General features: G+C 40.2%; 1 protein-coding gene across 8 annotated transcripts in view, besides 1 other annotated feature; it reads left to right on the top strand.

The window, feature by feature from the left end:
• The window catches only part of OPCML (opioid binding protein/cell adhesion molecule like), a 1117521-nt gene that overhangs the window by 592941 nt on the left and 499747 nt on the right, over positions 1 to 24833 (top strand). The window lies entirely within an intron of this gene.
• Positions 18951 to 19528: an enhancer, noted in NCBI's record as "H3K4me1 hESC enhancer chr11:132789928-132790505 (GRCh37/hg19 assembly coordinates)". NCBI's record gives its function as "activates a minimal SCP1, AML or CMV promoter by ChIP-STARR-seq in naive H9 embryonic stem cells {active_cell/tissue: H9 hESC(naive)}" and the evidence as "EXISTENCE:reporter gene assay evidence [ECO:0000049][PMID:30033119]".

Below are 24833 nucleotides of genomic sequence, written 5' to 3'. Positions count from 1 at the left end.
GGTTGTAACTGTTCCACTCAACGGGAAAAGTTCCCACCAACATACTGGATTTTCTTTCTGGTTTGCTTTTGTTTTGGTGTTTTGTGTTTTTTATTTCAACAGCAGGATAATCAGTTTTGTTGATCCAGGCTTGCTGATCTGGGATTATGCTTAATGGCTCTTTTCTAAAATGTCCCTGCATTTTCATTTGGAGTTCTGAGCTAATCCATTCAAAACCAAGTATTTGAGGTTTAACTACTGCCAAGGAATAATCTGAGCAGTGGGGATTTTGCCAAAGCAACCTGGGCAGTAGAGTTTCCAAAGCTAAAGTTCTGTTGTTTGCCTGGGTGTGTTTCTGTACTTTGCACCTACCTTCAGCTCCTTCTTATGTAAATTAAAAGATTTTGAGTAGCCATTAGACTATTCAAAACAAATGCATTATTTTTCCATTTCAGTGTTTCAGTTGTCCAAGCTGAATAAGAACTGGGTAAATGCAAAGACTTTACTCCTAGTCTGGGAAGACAAAGACATTAAAAGACACTCAAGCAGGGACAGGTCCATAAAGGACCTCTCCAGTGGTGGCACTAACCTGGTTGGAGTTATCTGGGATGCTTTTTAGAAATTCCATTTCCAGTCTCCCAGATTGATGATGTCAAAATTCCTGGGTTTGGGGATGGACGTGGCCATTGAAAACATCTTTTCCAGTATTTCTAATGTGGAGCCAGGATTGAGAACACTGCTCTAAAGCCCTTTCTGGCCCTAGAGCCTCTGAGCAAGGCTTATCCAGCGTCCCTGCTTTCCAAGGAAGCATCTTCCCCATGGGTGCCTGCACCTCATGGGCAATGTTAATGCCCTAGAAAGCTCTGTGTCTGGGGGCCTAGGCACCTGGGGTTGATTCTTACTCTACCTCTCACTAACTCCACGGCCTTGAGCACTTTCAGTTGAATTGTGTACATACAGGAACAATATCTATTATAACTGGTCTGCATTATCAGAGGAAAGGAAGTATATGGGTTGTTCTGTGAGCCATAAAGCAACATATGTGTGCAAGTTATTACTGGTACTAAGTTGAACTCCTCAATAACAACTGACAATACTCACACATTTTTTTCAGTTTTGTCTGCTCCATCTCGTTCTTCCTCTATCCCCACACTTATACACAGCTTTAAAGTATATTTGTTTTTTCACAGTTCCACCCAGAATTCTTTCTGCTTGTCAAGAATTGCCCTCATGAGAGTTCCAGTAACTCTTGCTGCTAACACTGTTCTAACAGATCCACACTAGGACCTGTTATTTTTTCATGTGTGGTTATGGTTAGTCTGGGGGCTCCTGGAGCTTAGGAGCTGTGCTTTATGTGTTGACTATAGATACTGTGGTGGATACTAAAGATTACAACAAATAAGTATTGGTTTAATGCTTTAATCCATCTTAATGGGAAACAACCACTTCTAGTGTATTATTGCCTCTACAGCAATGAAACCCTTATATCTAAACAATTTTATTGTCTTCAAAATATGATCCTGGGATATTCAGGCACAGCAGTTGGTTAGCGGTCTTGGAGGCCTGAGGGACTTTTGGATTCCACTCAAATCACTTGCCAGAGGGGACAGTTGAATCCACCAATGATGGCAGTCTGATCCAAACTATGCAAAGTCTTCACTATCCCTGAGGTCAAGAAAACAAGCAGAGTGGCAGAGTGAAGAGCAGTAGTACTAGTGCTTTTTAGAAGCAGTAGAGGAGCACATTTGGAAAGCATACCTGTCTCTGCAGAGATTTGCCTTGTGGGCCCAAGGAGATACACAATGCAGGGAGGCAGCAAGAATGTTGGCATGTCCTGGGTTGGGTCATGGCTGCCGGATCTGGCAGGCCTGGGAGAGCAAGGCTGGCTTGAGTCCGTGACACTCTCTGACATCCCTGATTGGTGGGAATGTGTCTGCCTCCCCAGCACACACACACACACACACACACACACACACACACACACACCCCACACACGCCACACACACCACACACACACGACACACACACACTCCACACACACACACCACACACACCACACACCACACAGACACACATACACACACACTCTCTCTCTCTCTCTCTGTCCCCCTGTTTGAAGCAGGCTGTGGGAGAAGACGTTTTAAAGCATTAGAAATATATGTTCCCTGGCTTTCTGAACCTTTCTGGAAAACTCAGCAGCTCTTATCTAAGCCCTTTGGGTAATTGTTTAACCTTTTTAAGTAAATTTGGCCCTTGGGCTTGGTTTAGGTCTGTCTTTCTCATTTCCTTTCCTTCTGGTTTCTAAAAAAGGACTCTGCCCTTGGCCCACTCACTGTGCTCACTAGGTGGCTGGCTCTGAGGGAGCTGGGGAGCCGGTCCGCCAGGCAGTTTTTATGGATCTGATGGGATCCGGCAGCAAGATGCAGTGGAGGGGAAGAGTCAAGCAGGTCTCATTTGACCTTCCCAGGGGAGGTCTTTTAAAATTACTTATTATTAACGGGAAGCTGTCTTCAGTCATGAGATGAGAAGAGGGAATTACAGTCCAAGATATCTTTAGGGCTGACAGAAATTTGCATTGCCTAATAAGTTAGAAACCAAGTGCTAACTTTTCTTCATTTTCTTTCTTCCTTTTTTTTAACATATACAAGACAGCACCAAATTATTTCAGGTCTGTTTGTTTATTGTTTGCCCTGAATGAAGCCGCTCTTGCTCATGTTAGGTATAATTGGAGCTCAAGTTTGCATGAAATGGGTTTGGGGGAGGGGTGCACTCTTTTCATCTTGATCCGTTCTCAGGCCCTTGTTGTCTCCCAATAAATGACACTACCTACTTGATGCTTTTTATACCTGGTGTATTTTCTTTTAAGAAATGAACATTGAAGCTGTGATATCTAGGCTGCTCAGCACTGCCTAGCCTAGATCTGTGTATGGCTTTCCCGGTAGAGAAGTTTAGAGAAAGGAACTGTCTGTACCTAGCGCCACTACAGGATAATACTGCAGAGCCTTGAACAAAACCTGCAAGAGCCCAGGGGTGAGGGGAGGTTGTGGGGCGGGGACATGCCGATGCTAGTGAAACAAACAAAAGCTCCTATTGTACATGGTTTACTATGTGTCAGATGCCACATTAATTACCTAACATGTCATGTAATTTTCAGACCATTACAATCCCTATTAACAGCCTACGGGTCCAGGTTTAGAAAAGTTAAACCACTTACCTTTGGTCACATGGTTATCATGTGTCAGAGTCTGCATTTGCTCCTAGAAGACCTTTATGCTTCTTTTCAAATTCATAGTATGTCCCCCTCCCCAGATGTAGAGGACAGAGAAAACTTCCAAGTGCCACAAGCAGAAATAAACCAAACACATCCTTTCTGTTCCTGAAGGTCAGGAAATCTGCATTTCAGTTGAAGGCTGCAGCTGTCTGCTGTCCCATCTTTAGAGTCTCCTTGCTTCTTGGGGGCTTCCCTCCCCTCACCCGCACTCAAGTGAAGCCCATCTATTACTACCTTCTGAGGCTGGAAATGGTGCACGCTGCAAACACTGAGCAACATGACACCCACCAGGATCTAACATACTGTCCAGGGGGATCATGGATGCTCATGGCTTTGAACCTGCCCTAAATGTTGTACTATCCCGTTACTTGACCTCCCATAGCACATATGGAACCTCAAAGGGCCTGCAACCTAAGACAACGTGAGCCGGTCACTTCTTGGTAAGAACCCAACAATGAGACCTGTGAAGAAATGAGTGATACCAAAGTATAGAAGGAGGAGAAGTAATTTTGTTTAAACCCTAAAATACGTCACTCCATTATCCTCCCTCCCATCCTTGTATTCACATTTTAATTTAAGACTGTGAACACAGAGAGCGCAGGCCTTGCCATGCATTCATACCCCAGAGAAAACCATGTGACTCGCTTTGACTTGCTGGTCCCTGGAGATACATAATACTTAAATCAAAGAGATGCTGAAGGTCTTGACCTGGCTTCCCATGAAAGTGCTGATCAATACAATTTTTAGAAATTGGTTTTGAATATTAAACATTTTCAGTGGATCTGAAGATTTATGGCATCTCAATTAATCAAGTTTCCACTGCATAATCATCATAAAGAATGTTATCAGTGGTTGTTAAGTTTTCTGGCTAGTCCACAGAAGACAATTCAACTCACAATTACCCAAAATGCTATACACCAGCAATGAAGAATAACAGAAAACAACGTTGTTGCAGAAGTAATTACGCAAAAGAGAGAAAAAAGAATACGATAATTTTCTATTTATTGTGAATGCCAATGCTGAAGAAAAGTAGGCGTAATTAGAAGAAGATAATATGGAAACATTTTCTCAAAGATATTTCTGAATGCTCTCTGAAGTTTTGGAGTTTGTTGTATTGTTTCTATTGAGCCAAATTTAATTTTAAAATATGTAGCTTTTTTTTTTTTTTTCTGAGATGGAATTTTGTTCTTGTTACCCAGGCTGGAGTGCAATGGTGCGATCTTGGCTCACCGCAACCTCCACCTCCTGGGTTCAAGCGATTCTCCTGCCTCAGCCTCCTGAGTAGCTGGGATTATAGGCATGCATCACCATGCCCGGGTTATTTTGTATTTTTAGTACAGAAGGGGTTTCTCTATGTTGGTCAGGCTGGTCTCGAACTCCCTACCACAGGTGTTCCCCCCATCCCGGCCTCCCAAAGTGCTAGGATTACAGGTGTGAGCCTCTGCACCCAGCCGCTTTTGTATTATTTGATTCCTGTATGCATTTGTCACTACTCTGATGGATGAGGAAATTTTCATAAATATTAACAAAGGAAGGAAGATAGATAAAGGACAGAAAAGACAATAATGGAATTACTCATGAAAGGAGAGAGTAGCAGAGAGATATTCCAGAAGTAGAAGTTGAAAGGAAGGAAAGAAAGGAGCTAAAGAAGGGGACAGTGTGTACCTGTGAGAAAAACAGCAACAGCAACAACAAAAACCTCAAGTGGAATTACTGAATAGTCAGAGGTAGAGAAAAGAAAGAAAGTTGGCAGATAAGAATGCCTGGGCCCTACTTTTGAGTTTCTGGGATTTGAGAGCCTCTTCTCTGCCTGTCCAGGCCACAGGACCACACATAACCTGATGTCCAGCACCCATTCTAAGTCAAGGCGAGAACAGTCAAAGGGTCAGTTCTCACTTGCTGCTAGGTTCCAGCGTGTTCTGAACCTCGGTTCCTACCTGCCTTACAGCTGTAAATCTCCCTCTTGTCAATGGGTCTTAGTCCCTGTATTGCTAATCCACGCTGGACCTACCCCAGGCCCTGGGTGACTGGGTACCCTGCCTTGTCCTGCCAGGATCTCTTCTCTGAGGGTCGAGGCCTGCCCTTAACCCCGCTCTGACTGGCCTAGTGGTTCCAGGACTTTCCAATGCTTACCATCTGCCTATTTACCCAAAGGATCTTTTGGAGAGCACTTCACATCCAGGCAGCAGGGGAGGTCTAGGCCAAGTGACGCTTGCTCCTGTCTACCCTGCTTATGTGTAATTAAACCATTTATTTTCAGGCACATAGCCTGTGTCTCAGTTATTGGTCCACCTTGACTATCCACTGTTGCCTCCTGGTCATTGTTTGGAACCTCCTGTGATGGAGAAAAAAAGGAGTCACCATCTGTACACCCAGGGAATTGAATGAGTCAGGGGTTTATTAGAGAGGCTGGGCTTACACTGAGATATTGTCTGTAAGGCACCCTGTGTAAGAGGGGGGAGGAATTACAGAACTCAAATTTGTACCGCCGTGTGCTTTTCTCTGCCATCTCTAAAGATATTCCTCTTCCAATTGTCATTTTTATTGCTTCTCCCAAGCCCTTTGTTAAATGCATTAATATCTTCTATCTATCTTGCATTCTCAGTGTCCAACAGAATACCTAATGCTTAGTAGGTGCTCTAAGTTTTCTGAAAAGATGAATGTTTCTCCTTTATCTCTATCTCTCTGTCTCTCTCTCTGTTTCTTCTCTCTCTTTCTCACACACACGCACACACACACATCTCCCTTTTCTAATGAAGATATTCTCATCCATGTTGAATAATTCACAAGTCACTGAAATTACAACCATAGGGCCTGGCATTTGAACCCTAGTTGAGATACTAATATCTCCCTAAATAGTTGCTGTTTCACTTGTCCTTTCTCTGCCTGCTTGTTATAATTGGAGGATTTGACAATTGCACAATATCATTGAAGCCACAGGCAGGAGATTCTGAACGATTTGCAAGGGAGGAATGTCTGCTTTCTCCCCTTCATCAAGGTCACATAATAGAGGCTGGCACATTCTGGAAGAATACCTGCAAATTTCAGGGTTTGGAAAAGCCAATGTGAGTCATCTCTAAACATTCCATCTCAGGATGAAGGGATTCATGGACCCATCTCCTTGGGTCCTAAAATGCAGCTGCTTCTGTCACAAGATCTCACTATGAGGTCCCTGAATACCTATCAGCAACATGCCTCCCGCTGTACCTGTGCAGTGGAAACAGTTCATAGAATGTCCTTGATTATATGCTCTGCTTTATGATGGGCGAGTCAATGGGTGCTTAGTGAAATGTAAGATAAAGTATAACCTCTATCAAGAGGTTAAGAACACTGACTTTACAGTCAAAAGGCTCATTTTGAATCCCAACTCTGGTACTTAATGGCTGTATGTGGTTGGACAAGTGACTCAATTTTTCTAAGCCTCAATTTCCTGATTAAAAAAAAATAAGGAATAGATATCCACTTCACTGGGCTGATGGGAGGCAGTAAATGATACCAAGTTTGTAAAGATTTCAGATTAAAGTTTTACATTGCAGCAAGAGCACAATAAACAGTTGCTATTAAGTTAAATATATATATTTATCCATGCAGCATTTGTATATATATATATATATATATAATATATATATAACTGAATTCACAATTTATCCATGCAGCATTTATTGGGTACCCACCAGCACTATTCTAGGCAGTGTGGGAATTACACAGTTAAATTAATTCTAGACTCTCCTCTCTGAGCATCCATGTATGTTGAATATGTGACTATGTTGGCAGAACATAGAGCCCACAAAATGGGAAAGGGGGATGGAGGAAGAGAGAGGGATAAAAAGAGGGAGAAACGAAATCTGCTTAAAGTAAAACGCACCCTGTTAGGGTTCACATCAGTATACTTGGACGCATATATTTACCCATGTAGCCACCACCTCACTAGGTACAAAACATTTTTGTTACCCCAAAAAGTTCCTCCATGCCCCTGTTTTTATTGTGGTAAAAATACGTAGAATGTATCATGTAAACCAATTTTAAATATACAGTTCGGTGGCATTAAGTACATTCACGTTGCTGTGCAACTGTCACCACCATCCCTCTCCAGAACTTATTTCTTCTTCCCAAACTGAAACTCAGAATCCATTAAACAATAACTCCCCATTCTTCCCTCCCCCCAGCTTCTGGAAACTACTATTCTATTACTATTATTACTATTCTATTGTACTACTTTTCTTTCTGTCTCTATGTTTTGACCACACTAGGTACCTCAGATAATTGGTATTTTATAGCATTCATCCTTTTGTAACTAGCTTACTTAAGTTATCTATACATATTGTCTTTAAGGTTCATCCATGCTGTAGCATGGGTCAGAATTTCTTTCCTTCTTAAGGCTGTGTTCTATTGCATGTATAGGCCACGTTTGTTTATTCATTCATCCTTTGATTGATGCTTGGATTGCATTCACTCTTGTGAATAATGCTGCTATGAACCTAGGTGTACAAATATCTGTTTGAATCCCAGCTTTCAATTCTGGATTGCATGGTAATTGTATGTTTAATTTTTTTGAGGAAACGCCACGCAGTTTTCATAGTGGTAGAGTCATTTTATATTCTCACCAGCAATACAGAAGAGTTCCAACTTCACCACCTTCTTGCCAACACTTATTTTCTGTTTCTATTATTTTCATTAATAGTGACTTTAATGGCTGAGAAGTGGCATCTCACTGTGATTTTGATTTGCATTTCCCTAATGATTAGTGATGTTGATATGCTTATTGACCATTTGTATATCCTTCTTTGGAGAAATGTCTATTCAAGTTGATTGCCCATTTTTAAACTGGATTGTTTCTTTGTTTTTCAACGTTTGTAGTTTTATATATTCTGGATATTGACCCTTATCAGATATATGACTCACAAATATTCCCTCCCATTCTGTGGATTGCCTTATTACTCTTTTGATAGTGTCTTTTGATGAAGAAGGCTTTAACGTTTTACTGTAGTCCAATTTATCTTTTCTTGTTTTTTCCTTTTGTCGTCTGTGCTTTTGGTATCAGATCTAAGAAGGCACCAACAAATCCGATCTCATGAAGCTTTTTTCCTATCTTAAAATTTTTTTTAATAGTTTTAGCTCTTATGTTTAAGCCTGTGATCCATTTTGAGGGTTTTTTTTTTGTATATGGTGTAATATGAGTCCAACTTCATTCTTTTGTATGTCAATATCCAGTTTTTTCAACACCATTTGTTGAAAAGACTGTCCTCTCCCCACTGAATGGTCTTGGTATCCTTGTTAAAAGTAATTTGAGCATGTATTCAAGGGCTTATTTCTGGGCTCTGTATTTCATTCCATTGGTCTGTATGTCTGTTGTTATGCCAGGACCACACAATTTTGATTACAGTAACTTTGTAGTATGTTTTGGAAGCCAGGAAGTTCCAGACCACTAACTTTGTTTATATTTTTCAAGATTGTTTTGGCTATTTCCAGTCTCTTGAGATTTCATATAAATTTTAGGATTGATTTTTCTATTTCAATGGCATGGGTAGATTGCTTTGGATTGAATTAACTATATTAAGTCTACCAATTCATAAACACAACATGTCTTTTCACTTATTTTTGTGTTCTTTATTTCAACAATGTTTTGATGTTTCAGTGTACATACGACTTTCACCTTCTTAGTTAAATTTATTCCTAAGTATTTTATTCTTCTTGATGCTATTGGAAATAAAATTTTTTTTATGTTTTCAGATTGTTTATTGTTAGTTTATAGAAATGCAATTGATTTTTTTGTTGATTTTTGTATTCTACAATGTAATTTATTAGTTCTAATTTTTGTGCATGTTTATGGAATCTTCAGAGTTTTCTACACATAAGATTATATCATCTGTGAACAGAGATAGTTTTACTTCTTCCTTTCCTTTTTTGATGCTTTTATCATCTTTATTTTTATTTTTTGAGACAGGGTGCCACACTGTCTCACCCTGTCACACAGGCTGGAGTGTAGTGACACAATCATGGCTCACTGTAGCCTCGACCTTTCAGGTTCACGTGATTCTCCCACCTCATCCTCTCAAGTAACTGGGACCACAGTTGCAGGCCACCACGTCAGGCTAATTTTTGTATTTTTTGTAGAGACAGAGTTTTGCCATGTTCTATAGACTGGTCTCAAACTCCTGGGCTCAAGCTATCTGCCTGCTTTGGGATCCCATAGTACTGGGATTATAGGTGTGGGCCACTGCACCCAGCCCGTCTTTTTCTTTATTGCTTCAGGTAGAATGCCCAGTGCTATATTGAGTAGAAGTGATAGAAGCAGACACTCCTGCCTTGGTTCTAATCTTAGAAGAAAAACTTTCCATCTTTTCTCATTTAGTATGTTGAGTACATTTTAGTAGTGGAATTTTTACATATGACCTTTATTAAGGTTATGTAATTTCTTTCTATTCCTAGTTTATTGAGTATTTTTTATTATTAAAGGGTGTTACATTTTGTCAAATGCATTTTCTGTATCAATTCAGATGGTCATGTGTTGTTTTGTTTTTTCCTTCAACTGGTTAATGTGGTATATTCATTGATGAACCATCCTTGCATTGCAGAAATAAATCTCACTTGGTTATGAGTATAATTCTTTTAATATGCTTTGAATTCACTTTGCTGACATTTTGTGAAAGATTTTTGCATTAATATTTACAAGGCACATTAGACTAGTATTGGTTTTGTTGTTGTTGTTGTTGTTTTGGTAATGTCTTCGTCTGATTTTGTTATCGAAATAATATTGGCTTATAGAGTGAGTTTGGAAGTGTTCTCTCCTCTTGAATTTTTTGGGAGAGTCATAGGAAAACTGTTAATTCTCCTATAAATGTTTGATAAAATTCAGCAGTGATGCTATCTGGTCATGGGCTTTTCTTTTTTGGGAGGTTCAGATTTTCAATTTCTTTGTGATTCAGTCTTGACAGACTCTGTCTTTCTAGAAATTTGGCCATTTTATCTAGGTTAACCAATTTGTTGGCACATACTTGTTCACAGTACTCTTTTATAATCCATTTTATTTCTATAAATTTAGTTATACCATGACCTTTTTGTGATTTTAGTTATTTGAATTTTATTTTTTTCTTAGTCAATCTAGCTAAAGTTTTGCCCATTTTGTTATCATTTTAAGGAAAAAACTCATTATTTTGTTGATTTTTTTCTATTTTCCCATTCTCTATTTTGTTTATCTCTCCTATAATATTTATTATTTTCTTTCTTCTGCTAGTTTTGTGTTTAGTTTGTTCTTCTTTTTTTTAGTTCCTTAAGGCTTAAAATTAGATTGTTGAGTGTTTTTTTTTCTTTTTTGTTGTAAGTGTTTAGTGCTATGAATTTCTATCCTAATACTGCTTCTATTGCATCCTATAACTTTTGGTATGTTGTGTCTTCATTTTCATTTGTCACAAGATTGTTATAAAAATTGTTTTTTTATTCATTGATTGTTTGAGAATGTGTTAATTCACACATATTTGTAGATTTTCCAGTTTTCCTTATGCTGTTGTTTTCCAGTTTTATTTCATTCTAATAAGAATAGATACTTAGTATGATTTCTGTCTTTTTAAATTTACTAATACTTATATTTTGCCTTAACATATGATCTATCCTGAAGAATGTTTTATGTCCACTTGAGAAAAATGTGTTTTCTGCCTTTGCTGGGTGGAGTGTTCTGTACATTTCTGTTACGTCTAATTGGTCTGTAGTGTTGTTCAAGCTCTTTATTTCCTTATTGATCTTATGTCTGTTTGTTATATCTATTATTGAAAGTGGAGTGCTAATGTCTCCTACTGGTCTTGTAGAGCAATTTCTCTATTCAATTCTGTCAAACTTAGTTTCATATATTCAGATGTTCTGCTATTTAGTATATATGTTTATTTTTTTGTATCTTGTTGGTAAATTGGCCTCTTTATTATTATATAACATCATGTGTTTTTTGTGAGAGTTTTGACTTAAAGTCTATTTTGTGTGCTATCCCATAGCCACCTCTGGTCTCTTTTGTTTACTATTTGTATAGCAAATACTTTTTCAACCTTTCACTTTTGAACTATGTGTGCATTTAAATCTAAACTGGGTCTCTTGGACACAGCATATAGTTGGATGCTGTTTTTTAATCCATTCTGCCAATCTGTGTTTTTAGATTGTGCCGTTTAATCCATTTACATTTAAAGTAATCACTGATAAAGTAATCACTGACTTACTATGCTGTTTTGTTATATATTTTTTCTGTACACTTTATAGTTTTTTTGTCCCTCATTTCCTCCTTTACTGCCTTCGTTTGTGTTTATTTTAGTTTTTGGTAGGCTTGCATTTTGATTAATTCTCATTCTATTTTGTGTATATTCTATAGGTATTTTCTTTATGCTATATCCCCATGATTTGCACATAGGGCTTATATACAATATCCTAAGGTTAGAAAAACTATTTTAAATTGATAACAACTTAAATTACATACAAAAACTCTACTCCTGGACAGCTTGGATCCCCCTATATGTTACTGATGTCACAAATTATTGGTTTATACATTGTGTACCCATGAACATAGATTTATTATTATGTATAGTTTTATATTTTAAATCCTATGAAAGAATAAAATTGGAGTTATAAACTAAAATGACAATAATACAGGTTTTTTGGTAGGTGTCCATATATTATATTTACCAGAGAACTTTATATTTTCATACAAATTTAAATTACTTTCCAGCTTTCTTTTGTTTCAACTTGAAGGACTCTCTTTCATATTTCTTGAAGTGCAGGTCTAGTGGTAATGAATTCCCTCAGCTTTTGTTTATATGGGGATGTCTTAACTTCTCTCTTATTTTTGAAAGACAGTTTTGCTGGATATGGATTTATTGGGTGACAGATTTGTTTGTTTGTTTGATTTTGCTTTTGCTTTTTCCTTTTAGCACATTAAGTATAAAATCCACCGCCTTCTGGGAGGCAAGATTTCTGCTGAGAAATTCAATGATGATCTTGTTGAGAATCTTTTGTAAATGATAAATTAGTTTCTTGCTACTTTCAAGATTCTCAATTTCTCTTTGGTCTTTGACATTTTTTTATAATGTATCTCACTGTGGGTATCCTTGGGTTTATCCTACTTAAAGTTCATTGAGCTTCTTATATGTATATGTCCATTTCTTTCTTCAACTTTGGAACATTTCCAGTAGTTACATATTCAAATAAACTCTTTTCCTTTCTCTCTATTTCTTTTCCCGGAACTCTCATAATGCATATATTGGTCTACTTTGTGGTGTTTCTTAAGTCCCTTAGGCTTTATTCCCATTTCTTCTTTCTTTAATCTTCAGACTCAGTAATTTCAAATGATATGTCTTCAAGTTCACTGATTGTTTTTTCTGCTTGTTCAAATCTGATGTATTTTTCAGCTCTAGAATTTGTTTTTGGTTGTTTTCTTATTCTTTTTCTATTATTTCATCCCTTTTTTCATAGTCTAATTTTATTCATATATTGTTTTCATGATTACTTTTTATTATTTCTTATGTTTTTCTTTAGCTCTCTGAGCATATGTAAGGCAGTTTTTATAAAGTCTTTTCAGGTAAGTTTTAAGTCTATGTTTCTTCCGGAAAATCTTATGGAGATTTTTTTTTTCCTTTGAATGGGGCATATTTTACTGTTTCTTTGTATGCCTAGTGACATTATGTTGAAAATTTGGCATTTGAAAAAACAACCACCTCTTCAAGTCTTTGTAAGCTGCCTCCATGCAAGGGAAGACCTTCACTAATCAGCAGGATGTGATGGCTTAAGTTCTTAGGCCTTTTCTTGGTATATGCCTCTCCTGGTCTTGTGTGCATCCTTTTTTTCCATTCCTGTATACACATGGCTATTTTTAAATGTCTCAATTTCTCAAAGAGTCTCACTACAGTTTCTTCTCAGGGGCCTTAAATGTTCTTTTATTTTTCTCTGCAAGTAATCTCTTGCAGAAGGTATGCTGTCTTGATGCGTACCACAGCCTCCCCTTGCCTGAGATCCAAGCTGCTTTTGGTTTCTGGACTCTGAGGTCGTCATCACAGAGATCAATACAGAACATGCCTCTGACATCTTTAGAGTTACAATCTAGGGTGGAAAGACAGGTAATAAACAAGGTAAATGCATCTAAACACAATATCATGTTACACAGTGATGAGTGCTCTGAAGAATAAAAGAGTAGGGTAAATTAGTTGAGAGGGACAAGGGTCTCTATTCTTGCCATGGTGGTCAGGAACCACGTGTCTGATGATGGTGACATTTGAGCAGAAACCTGATCAAAGTGCAAAAGTGAGCTATGCAAACACCTACTGGAAGTGTTCCAGGGACAGGGATGGCAAGGGAATAGGGTTCATGGCAAATGTGTGCTCACTGTGTTCTAGCAACAGAAAGGAGAGACTGGGCCAGAATAAGCAAGAGAATGAGTGGTAGGGAATAACAGAGTCATGGACAGAGACTTCTACCTTCTGGTCTGACATGTAAGGAGCTTGGGGGCTGGCTCTCCATCCTCACAACAAGAAAAAACCCTCAACACACTGAAAATCAACAATTCTTCTCAGATCCGTCAGAGAATTGAAGTCATAGGATAAGGCCACTACCTTAAAAACTAGAGACAGGTAGATACAGAGATTCACTGTTTATTTTGGGCAGAAACCACCCAGAAACTACCCCTGGAGTCAGAGTCTTCTAGGATCTTTAAAAAGACCATTGAGTGATGGCTGAAAACTAGATGTAGACTAACTTGAAATGTAAAACTTTTGAATAAGTCCTTGCGGAGTCCCCATACTTTCGTGGGTTTTACCTCCAGAAGCCCCACCAGGTTCTCAGGGTGAAAAGGCGTAGGTACAGCAGGGTAACCATTTGGAAACATTCCCAGAGGATTCTGTTCTTCTTAACAAAAGCTTATTCTTGAAAGAAACTATTTTCCCACAGCCTAATTACATTGTTTTTTGTTTAAACCAGAACCTATCCCACTGCAGGATGGGAAATACCCTACTTTACCCCACACTAGCTAAAAGCCAAAAAACAGAGTTCGAAGAGACAGAGAAAACATCAGCATAAGACTCAGATATGGCAGGGATGTTTGAGCTATCACACTGGCAGTTTGAAATTACTGTGCTCAGTGTGCTAAAGGAATATTGGGAAAAAATGGACAACATGCAAGAAGTGATGAGTAATGTAAGCAGAGAGATGGAAATTCTAAGAAAGAATCAAAAGGAATGCTGGAAAGAAAATACTGTTACAGAAATGAAGAATGGGCTCATTTGATGAGCTCTTTGGTGGACTGGACACAACTGAGGAGAGAATCAGTGAGCTGGAAAATATGCCAGTGGAAACCTTTGAAACTGAAAAGCAAAGAGAAAGACTTAAGAAAACAGAACAGAAAATCTAAGAACTGTGGGATCATAACAGAAGATGCAACGTATGTGTAATGAGATATCAGAAACAAAAGCAAGAGAGAAAGAAACAGAGGAGATATGTATAGAAATAGTGACTGAGAATATCCCAAGATTAATGCCGGACACCAAACCACAGATCCAGGAATGCTCAGAGAACATTGAGCAGGATAATGGCAAACAAACGAACACACAAACATAACAGCCTATGCTTAGGCATATGATTTTCAAACTGAAGAATGTCAAATGCAAAGAGAATTATTTGGAAGATACTAGCGGGGAAAAACACCTTGTTTATAGAAGAGTAAGGATAAGAATTATATTGAATTTCTCTTTAGAAACCAAGCAAGCAAGAAAAGAGCAGGGTGAAATATTTAAAGCATTGCAAGAAAAGAATCATCAACATAGATAAAGACTTTCTCAGACAAACAAAAATTGATCAGATTTGTCTTCAATAGACTTGCTTTGCAAGAAATGTTAAAAGTTCTTCAAGCTTGGTGCAGTGGTATACACCTGTATTCCAAACAATTTAGAAGGCTGAGGCAGGGAGTATCATTTGAGCCCAGGAATTTGAGTCCAGTCTGAGCAACAACAGAGACCTAGACCCCATTTCAAGAAAAAGAAGAGGAGGAGGAGGAGATGATTAACTTAAGCTAGTTCTGATAATGCCGCACCCCACTCCATCCTCCATCCCCCAAGCATTTACAGGTGTAGCTGACTCTTTAGTAATCAGATTATTTATTTATTTTTACTTCCTCTTTTCTCTCTGTCCCTCTTCACATACACACACACACACACACACACATAGTTTTTTTTCCTCAGTTGATGTTAGTTTCTTGAGGGCAGGAACAAGATTTCGATTTAATTAGGGGCTGGGCGCAGTGGCTCACACCTGTAATCTCAGCACTTTGGGAGGCCGAGGCGGGCGGATCACCTGAGGTCAGGAGTTTGAGACCAGCCTGACCAACATGGAGAAACTCCATCTCTCCTAAAGATACAAAATTAGCTGGGCGTAGTGACACAAGCCTGTACTCCTAGCTAGTCGGGAGGCTGAGGAAGGAGAATTGCTTGAACCTGGGAGGCGGGGGTTGCGGTGAGCCGATATTGCTCCATTGCACTCCAGCCTGGGCAACAAGAGTGAGACTCTGTCTCAAAAAAAAAAAAAAAAAAAAAAAAATTCAAGTAACTTCTGTGATACTTCGCAGGGCATGTTAATAATGTCTGTTTGACAGAGGCAGGTAGATTGAATCTATTGTTAGCCCTATCTTCTTCCCAGCTGTGTAAGTAGGTGCAATCAGACATGTATATATTTGTGACCATAACAAAAATGGAAATAATAGTGAACATAAGCAACTTTTATTTGTGTGGTAATTTGCAATTTGCTCTTTCTTCCTGAAAAGTTATTTCCCAACCTCTTTCTATATATGACAGGTCTTACTCATCTTTCAGATCTCTCTCAAATGCTACTTCCAATTTGTTAATATTTTCTGATTTTCCTGTCACCTTTGTCTCAATGGTTTATAGGCCTTCCAAGCCCGGCTGGGCGTCATAGTAATCCAGGAAGATTTTTTAGAATACAGATTCCCGTACCCAGTCTCAGATATACAGAATCAGGAATGCTTAGGTACAAATCCATGAGTCTGGTTCTCATACAAGGAAAACTAGTTTGGTGCACTATTTTTTGGAAAAAAATGTGTCTGACCTTTTTAGTGTTTTCTGTTTACCAGAGCATGCAGGGGGAATGAACTAGTTCTCTTCTCATACCCCCGGAATGTATATACTGTTAACTGTAACATAATCTTGCAGGTTATCCGGCCATATTATTATTATTATTATTATTTATTTATTTATTTTTTTCTGAGACGGAGTCTCACTCTGTCACCCAGGCTGGAGTGCAGTGGTGCAATCGTGGCCCAATACAGCCTTGACTTCCCAGGCTCAAGCGACCCTCCCACCTCAGCCTTTGGAGGAGCTGGCATGCACCACCACACCTGGCTAATTTAAAAAAAAACAAAAAACAAAAACGTGTAGAGATGTGGTCTCCCTGCGTTGCTAGACTGGTCTCAAACTGAGCTCAAGAGATCCTTCCACCTCAGCCTCCCGAAGTGCTGGGATTACAGACGTGAGCCACTGTGTGCAGCCTCTCCCGCTGTGTCTTCCCTTCACAGGACTTCGTTCCTGGGAGGGAAAATATTTAGTTCACCTCTGTATCTCAAGTTGTGAGTACAACAATTTTTTGCTTTACTCTTTTTGTTAAAATGTACCAAAAACTCCACTCAAGCTGTTTAAATAAAGAGGTAGGCTGTGTTATAAGGACCATGGAATGCAGGAGAGTGAAGAATTTTGGCTTCTGAAAGGAAGGGAAGCAGGAGTCAGACCCTTCTCAGAACAGAGGCAGCCACTCTGCCGCCCTCCTCTTTCCTCGGGGTCTCCTGGTCTCGGTGCTCCGTCTTCCCGCACACGTGCTGCTTTTGCTCCTGTGGCTTTCTCTGTTTGCACAGGGTGGAAGGTGCCCATCCGACCTCTTTTGGCTTCATAGTTCTCGTTCAAGCGAGTCTCCACAGATTGTCCAGTATTTCTCTGTCTCATTTCCAAATTTCTGGGAGATAAAATCAGATTGTCTCAGCTTGGGTCGAGGGTCTACTCCTGATCCAATCAAGCCATGCTTAGGGGCAAAAGTCATGCCTCAGATAGGATGCTCTTAACACCAAATAATAAAATGTAACATTAAAGATATGTAAAAAATGGTAAAATTGGCCGGGGGTAGTGGCTCACATCTATAATTCCAGCACTTTGGGAGGCCGAGGCGGGTGGATCACGAGGTCAGGAGTTCGAGACCAGCCTGGCCAACATGGTGAAACCCCGTCTCTACTAAAAATACAAAAATTAGCCGGGCGCAGTGGCAGGTGCCTGTAATCCCAGCTACTCAGGAGGCTGAGGCAGGAGAATCGCTTGAACCTGCGAGGCGAAGGTTGCAGTGAGCCGAGATCATGCCACTGCACTCCAGCCTGGGTGATAGAGCGAGACTCTGTCTCAAAAAAAAAAGGTAAAATTTATAGTCTCACTCAATGGAGGGCCTCAATAAGGTGCTAGAGCGAGGCAGTTCCAGGAATGGTTTCCATCAGCTAAAGTGCTGACATCAGCACCTTTTATGGCTACAAGATGACTGCAGCAGCCCCAGACATCACCTTCTCATACAACAAAGTCCAAATGTAGTCATTAAGGGTTTGTGGGTGTCTTATAAAAAAATTTCTCCAGAATTTCTCTCTGAGCAGGGTTCCCTGTGGGATCATTGGCTAGGATCCCATTTATGTCCAGGCTCTAGCTGGAGGAGCTAGGGTCCTGGAAAGAGGGTTTCTGGCATTCCCTCCCTCCTACCCATACTTGGATGAAGGATCTGTCAGCAAGTTATTAGTGAGAAATTGCAGTTGGGCTGGCAAATAGTAATGTCCACAAGCCCCATGCCACAAATGTAGTCCCCACACATTGTGCTATGGCTGGGGGCCATGGAGGTGGAGGTGGTCAGAATTCTTAGAGAAGGATGAGCATGGCCTGGAAGGGCCCACTGTGGGTGTTTCTACTGGATTTAACACACGTGCAATAAAGGGACAACCAAAGAACGCACGTCCATTGCATTCACTGCGTCGTGGCCTTACCGTGATCAAAAGCCAAACAGGGAGGCGAACTTGTCTTCCATGATCACCCATGATGTCTGCAGCAATCTGTGTCTTAAGAAAAACAAAAAAGCTGAGGGAAACAAGGTGACAAACACGAGGGTTCCAGGCTGTCGAAAGGAAGTTTTAAACAACCTCACACAGTACTATCAGGAAAGAAAACAGCCATGGTAGAAGGAGATGGAAAAAGAAAAAAGTGATGAAGCAAGGCCAGCATGTGGCGGGGAGTAGAAGACTGCAGGGAGAATCAGACGCAGCGGGAAGCACTGGAGCTGAGGGGGTCAGGCAAGGAAAACTTCTTAAATCAAGCCGAGTGCAGGAAGGGACTGGCTGGAAGACAGGAGGGACAAGGTGTGGGGAGGAGATAGCCGAGATTAATGAGCTCAGGAGACGCCAGGTGGGCTCCCGCCGGCCAGGCCGTGACATGACAGCACGGGCCCAGAAGACGACCCTCTCTTTCGAGGTCAGTTATTTATTTATTTTGCAACAGAACCTAACAAATTCTAAAACCAGATAAATCCAATTACCCGTGTTTTGCCTTCAGGGAGTGCGAAAGATTAATGGTGGTATTTTGGCAGTAGCATAAAAAGAAATAGGAGGTAATAACAAGAAGGGCTCGTAAAGCGCCTGGAGAGCTGGCTGCAGCTCTCTCCCAGGGGCCGCGGCTGTCCTGGGGCCATGTGTGCACCCTGGCTTCGGAGGCAGTGGGCTGGGCCCAGAGAGACCCTGTCCTTCTCCAGGGGGGCTGCGATCCAAGACAGCACCCAGAGCACCCAGTGTCCTTTTAACTGATGTAGCTTTTCACATGCTCTTTTGCCCTCTCCCGCAAACCACAGTAACTTTTAGTTTTAGTGTTTAGAGCCAACGTTCTCTCCACTTCACAGATGAGGAGCCTGAGGAAGGAAGCTGCACCAGGAGGTGGGATGCAGTCCATTTGCATGAGTCTCCTTTTGTCTTTGTAGTTTTGTCCTGTGAAGTGTCACTGCGTTAGACTCCCAGGTCTTTGCAGCATAGCTTTTGGCCTATGAAATGTTTCTTCCAAAATGCCTTGCTTGATATTCACACATTCTGCTTTTTAAGAAATGTAATTATTTTTATTGAGATATAATTCACATATCATAAAATCCACTCTTTAAAAATGTACAATTCAGTGGGTTTTACTATATTCGTAAGGTTGTGCAATCATCACCACTATCTAATTCCAGTATATTTTCATCCCCACTAATAGAAAGCCCAAACCCATTAGCGGCTACTCCCCATTTCCCCCTTCCATCTAGCCCCTGGCAAGCTTCAAATACTTTCTGTCTCAATGAATTTGCTTATGCTAGACATTTCATGTATGTGGACTCGCACAATACGCATTCTCTGCTTTTAACTTGTCTTTTATTTATCCATTCTTTCATTCACTCACTTCCTGTGTCATTCTTTCTACAAATGTTCTTTGAGCTCCTGTCCTGGTTCAGGCATTTTTTAGGCACTGTGGGTGGAGATGAACAGCATGGCCTCTATCTTTAAAAAGCTTGTAATTCCGAGGTGAGGAGACAGAAGCGAGCAATTCAACACATCACGGTACTTGCTGAGATCCACTGGAAAGGGGCACGTGTGTCATCAGGCTCTACCTGATTCCGATGGTTCTGTTCCAGAGTTTCTTCATCCCCAGGATCAGCCCTGACACCAGAGAGGCTTTGGGAGCTGCAGCCAATCGCCCTGGCACCCAACACTGCTTTCTGTGATTCTAGCTCAGCTCTAACATTGGACCCTAACTCCTGAGAACAGATTCCACCTAATTCCACTTAGCACTCTTCATTCTAACAGCTTAGACCAGTAGTTCCCAGACTTCAGCCTGGGTCAGGGTCATCTGGACCCTGCCGGGCCTCAACCCAGAGCTTCCAACTCAGTAGGTCTGGGTGGATGTCTGCACATGTGAATTTCTCACATGTTTCCCAGTGATGCTGATGCTGCTTGTCCAAGGACCCCTCTCTGAGAACCACTGTCTTAGAACATGCCTTTACCTTGTTGGTCTGCGTCCTGGTAGCCTGCCTAGTAAATTAATTTCCCTGAAACTGAGGCCCTGGCTTTCTCTTGCTAGTCTCTTTTCAAGGACCAAAACCTTGTGATTAAATCCAGGCTTAAGGCTATAGGCCCAACTCATTATCTATCTACTTATACTCTCAAATGTTGCCTATTTCTGGGTTTGATGGTCTTCTCAGTTGCCAGTGAATGTACTGAATCTTGCCACATCTCATGTTTCCTAGTTCTGTCTATTATGTTTTACCATTATCCACAGTTAGCTCCTAGGCTTAATTCGGCCTGAATTTTTCCAAGCATAATTAATTGAGTCATACACAAGTGTCCAAAGATAAGACAACAGTCAGTCCAAGATGTCATTGTATTGTTTCCTAATCCCAGCTTTCCTATTTCATAAGGTGGCTATAGTGACAAAAGTGACAATGTTTTTTTTCAACCCTGGTGCTTTATGTTGGCACGTGTAAGTTGAGAAAAAGAATGTGAAATAGACACCTCTATAGCCTTTGTAACTTAAATGTCCTCTGGTAAGATTGGTGGTGATTGGGGAATCATAACTTAGAATGTCAAGGTTCTTAAGAGTTTAAGAAAGATGAAAAATTTCAGTTAAACCTACTAGAAAAAATTATTGGAGATATCATAAAGTGTGATAAACTGACTTAAAAAAATCAAAGACCCCTGCTTTTGATACACTCATTTTTACTTTTAAAAAGGAATGTTTCCCAGACAGTAAAGTGCACACGCTGTATGATTCCAATTTTATGGAGCTCAAGAACAGGACAGAACAAATTAATGATGATGGAAGTCAGTACAGGTGCTGCAGGAGGTACAGGGAAGCTTGAGAGTCAATACCTACAAATGGACGTGAGAAGAACTTGCAGCAGGATGGGAATGTTCTGTATTTTGATCTGGGTGTGGTCAACCAAGAGTAGATGTGTAGAAAAATCACTGAGCTGCAGTCTTAAGATCAGTGCCCTTTATATGCACTTCACTTTATGAATGTTATTCCTCAATAAACATAGTACTAGAAAAAAGGGATACAAAAACAGTTTAAAACGTGAATGTTAAAAATCGCATTATAAAGGTAAAAATCATATTTTATTCATTTAATTAAATTAGTAAATTAAAGATTACATTGTGCTTTTACCTTATTGTGAGGTAATTTCCAACACCAGTGACATAGAACTAACTCTAATCATAAAATAGGAAAACATATTAAAACAATTTTTTAAAAGTGGCCACTCCACACAAGCATGGAGGTAGAAGTGGATGAGTTTCTTCCAGAAATCATGGAGCACCATAGATTAAAAGCTTGTTTTCTGTATAAAGACCCAGTGGATCTAGTCTCATTTCTTTCATTTCAGGGCAGAAGTACAGGAGTTTGAAATGATCCAAGTAGGCCCTCCAATTACATTAATCACCACCACAGCAGAAAACCCAGCCCAAAGAGGCAGAGATGGATAAGCAAGCCATTGTGCTACTTCATGTTAAGGAAATCAGAGCGTTCCCCAGGTACAGTAGTGAGCCCTTCATGTAGACACCAGGGAAGGGTGACCTTGGCCAATCTAGTTCCAGGTACCATGGCAACAAGAAAACCTACAGCTTCTAGACTTAGAATTTCTTTGGAGGGAACGAGGTACCTCAGAACACTGTTAATTTTCTTCTTTCCCCAATTCCCAGGAAGAAGCATCTGTCTCCCAGCTCCATTAATTGCTAGGCCAATGTTGGATCTGTCTGGGATCTCTTCAGGGCCTGAAAGAATCCCTTTCAGAGCATAGAGAGGAAGTAGCAAGTCAGGCTGAGCAGAAAAACATGCTAACTACTCCAGAGTGAACCAGAGCATATATTCCTGATGCCCAGCTTTCAACTTTAATCAATAGATATTAATTAACATAGAGAACAATAACTGTCTTATTAAATCAGCAGTGATAAAAAAAGGCCATAGCTACTATTGAATGCTAATTGTCCCTTGATGACTCCACAGAGTTTCTAGGGTGAGCAGGCAAGTTATAATACAGTGTTTCCAATACAAGCCGTGATGTTAAATCCTCGTTACGGTGTCTTAATAATCAATTGGACTAGAGCGTACGGTATTTGTCTAATTAACTCCACATTGACACTCAGGAGCCAGCCTTGCTAGCCACAGATGATGGATTAGTTATGGTAGCTTGGGCTTGGTCACTGGAAGGGGTGCATTCTCTAGGCTCTGGGGGACTCATCTCCAGGGACCAGTGTCTGCAAAACAAACTCTGGGACCTCATGGGAAGCTCCTTTCATATCTTACAATAAAATAGGAAGGGGAAGACTCATGCTGCCTTAGTGAAAGTTTAATTTCCTACTTAGTAGAAAGGTCTAATGTGTCGTCTGTCTTGGTAAGCACCCCATGCTGCTGCCGACTGCAGTAAGATCCTCAGCCCCTCTGTGAAGGGAGGAGGCAGGGTGAGGGTAGCCTCAACTCTTCCCTTTCTACTTTGCTCACTCGAACACCCCTACAAAGTCTTAGATGGTCTTCTATGACATTCTCTTTACTTAAACACTCACATAGCCTATTTCCTCTTCTCTTCCGGTGACTTCTACCTCTTTATTCTACCACCTTCCTTCAGCCGCCAAAGCTCTACGTGTACTACTACTCTGTGCAAGTTTTCATATCCTCATGGTGCATCTTCTTTTATTCTGCTTTCTTTCCAGGTTTACTGTCTGGGATATTCAGATTGTGTGTTCAAGCTTAGGAACTGTGAATTTTACTTACCTGTCTCCACCTTGACAACTCTAATGGGAATTCAGTGACGTCCATGCCTGTCTAGAGTGCCAGCGCATCCACAGTAGAAGGCTTGCCACTGACTCCGTTTTTCATGTTTCACATTGATACAGCTTGACTAGGCCATGGAACCCCAGAGTCATGGAGAAAAGGGGCCCTCATGGGTGGGGAGAGTCAGCACAAATGCCTGACAAGAGGGAGTCTCTCTTAGTGTGATGAGACTGTAAAGCTGATTTGAATTAGTGTCCTATTTCCAAGGAGTATAAAGAGGCTTATAAGGATGCATATATATGTTACCATCAATTAGAAATGGGTAAAACTACACTTTATACTACAATCAAAAAGTAATAGCAGATGGATCCGAGATCTGAATATTAATATAAATATGAAACTTCTGACAGCATCAGAAAAATAAAGAATTTTACCCATACATGCACACTTACAAAATTATGGAAGTTGTGAAATGTTTTGTAATTAAGAGGAAAAACCCAAAAGCAATAAAGGAAAAGACTGATATATTGATAGATTGGCCTAATTAAATATGAAAGATCTCTGTAGAAAAGATAAGCAGTAGACTGGGAAAACATGATTAGCAATATTTATAGCATTAATATCTAGATTATATAAAGAACAGTCACATATCACCACCAAAAAAAGATAAATTACTCAATAGAAAGTAGACAAAAAATATGAATGAGCAATTACTTGAAATAAAATAGTGAATAAATATGTGGGAAAATGCTGAACCTTATGAGTTATCAGGGAAATACAAATTAAAGCACTAAATACAAATTACCTCTCAAAAATGAATAAAAACAGTTTGTGTCACTGAGGACTGTAGGGAAAGGTGACACTTACACACTGCTGGTGAGATTATCAATGTGTGAGTCTTTTGGAGACGGTGATTGTCCATATCTATACAAATTAGAGATTTGAATGCTGATTGACTTTTGGTCCCAGGCTCTGCAGGGGGAATTTAGAAAAACTCTTGGGATGTACTTCTGATGGTCCAATCCCAGAAGGAGTGGTGGCTGGGCAAGGCTGTGGAAACTGCCTAAATGGTTGCACAGGCTGAGGTCTTGCCAGCCTTCCCATGTCATGCCTTGCAGCTGGTGTGAGAATGAGGTATCATAGCACATGTGGATGCCAGAAATGTGCATGCCTCACCGGGAGGTAAAAAGCAGATTGTGCCACAGTACATATGACATGTTTATAACCCAGATAGATGTGTATACACGTTCACATATATAATGTTGAAAATGGGGAGATAGGGTCTGGTGGTTTACACACAAGCAAGAAACAGGGCCCCTGAAGAGGTGAATGAGAATGAGGCAGCAAGGTAAAGATGGGATACACATGTTCTGTATACTTCTCTATTACTAGAAGGTCATAGATGTTGAGTTAATGTAATTTTAAACTTTTTGTTAGAAAGAAAAGGAAAATAAGGGTAATAACATAAAGAGAAGAACAAAGCTCTTGCACAGGCCGCAAGGTTGTCAGACCTGGAGGGCAATGTGATTGGTTATATAACTTATAGCATTTGTCTCATAAAGCAAATCAGCTGCAGGGAGCAGCATCAGGAGCTCTCACACAAAGACCACACAGAGCTTCTTGAGAGTCACACAAAAGACCTTGTGTTGTGTAATGGCGTATGGAATTCTGCTGCAACACTTTCTTAGCCAGCTCCTTGGGGCTCTGGTTTCACACTGCCTGGAGGATCCCCATCCCGTCTCCCAACTTTGTTCATG

The sequence above is a fragment of the Homo sapiens genome, chromosome 11, assembly GCF_000001405.40.
Source record: "Homo sapiens chromosome 11, GRCh38.p14 Primary Assembly".
NCBI classification, from domain to species: Eukaryota; Metazoa; Chordata; class Mammalia; order Primates; family Hominidae; genus Homo; species Homo sapiens.
This window is presented reverse-complemented; position numbering and strand designations above follow the sequence as displayed.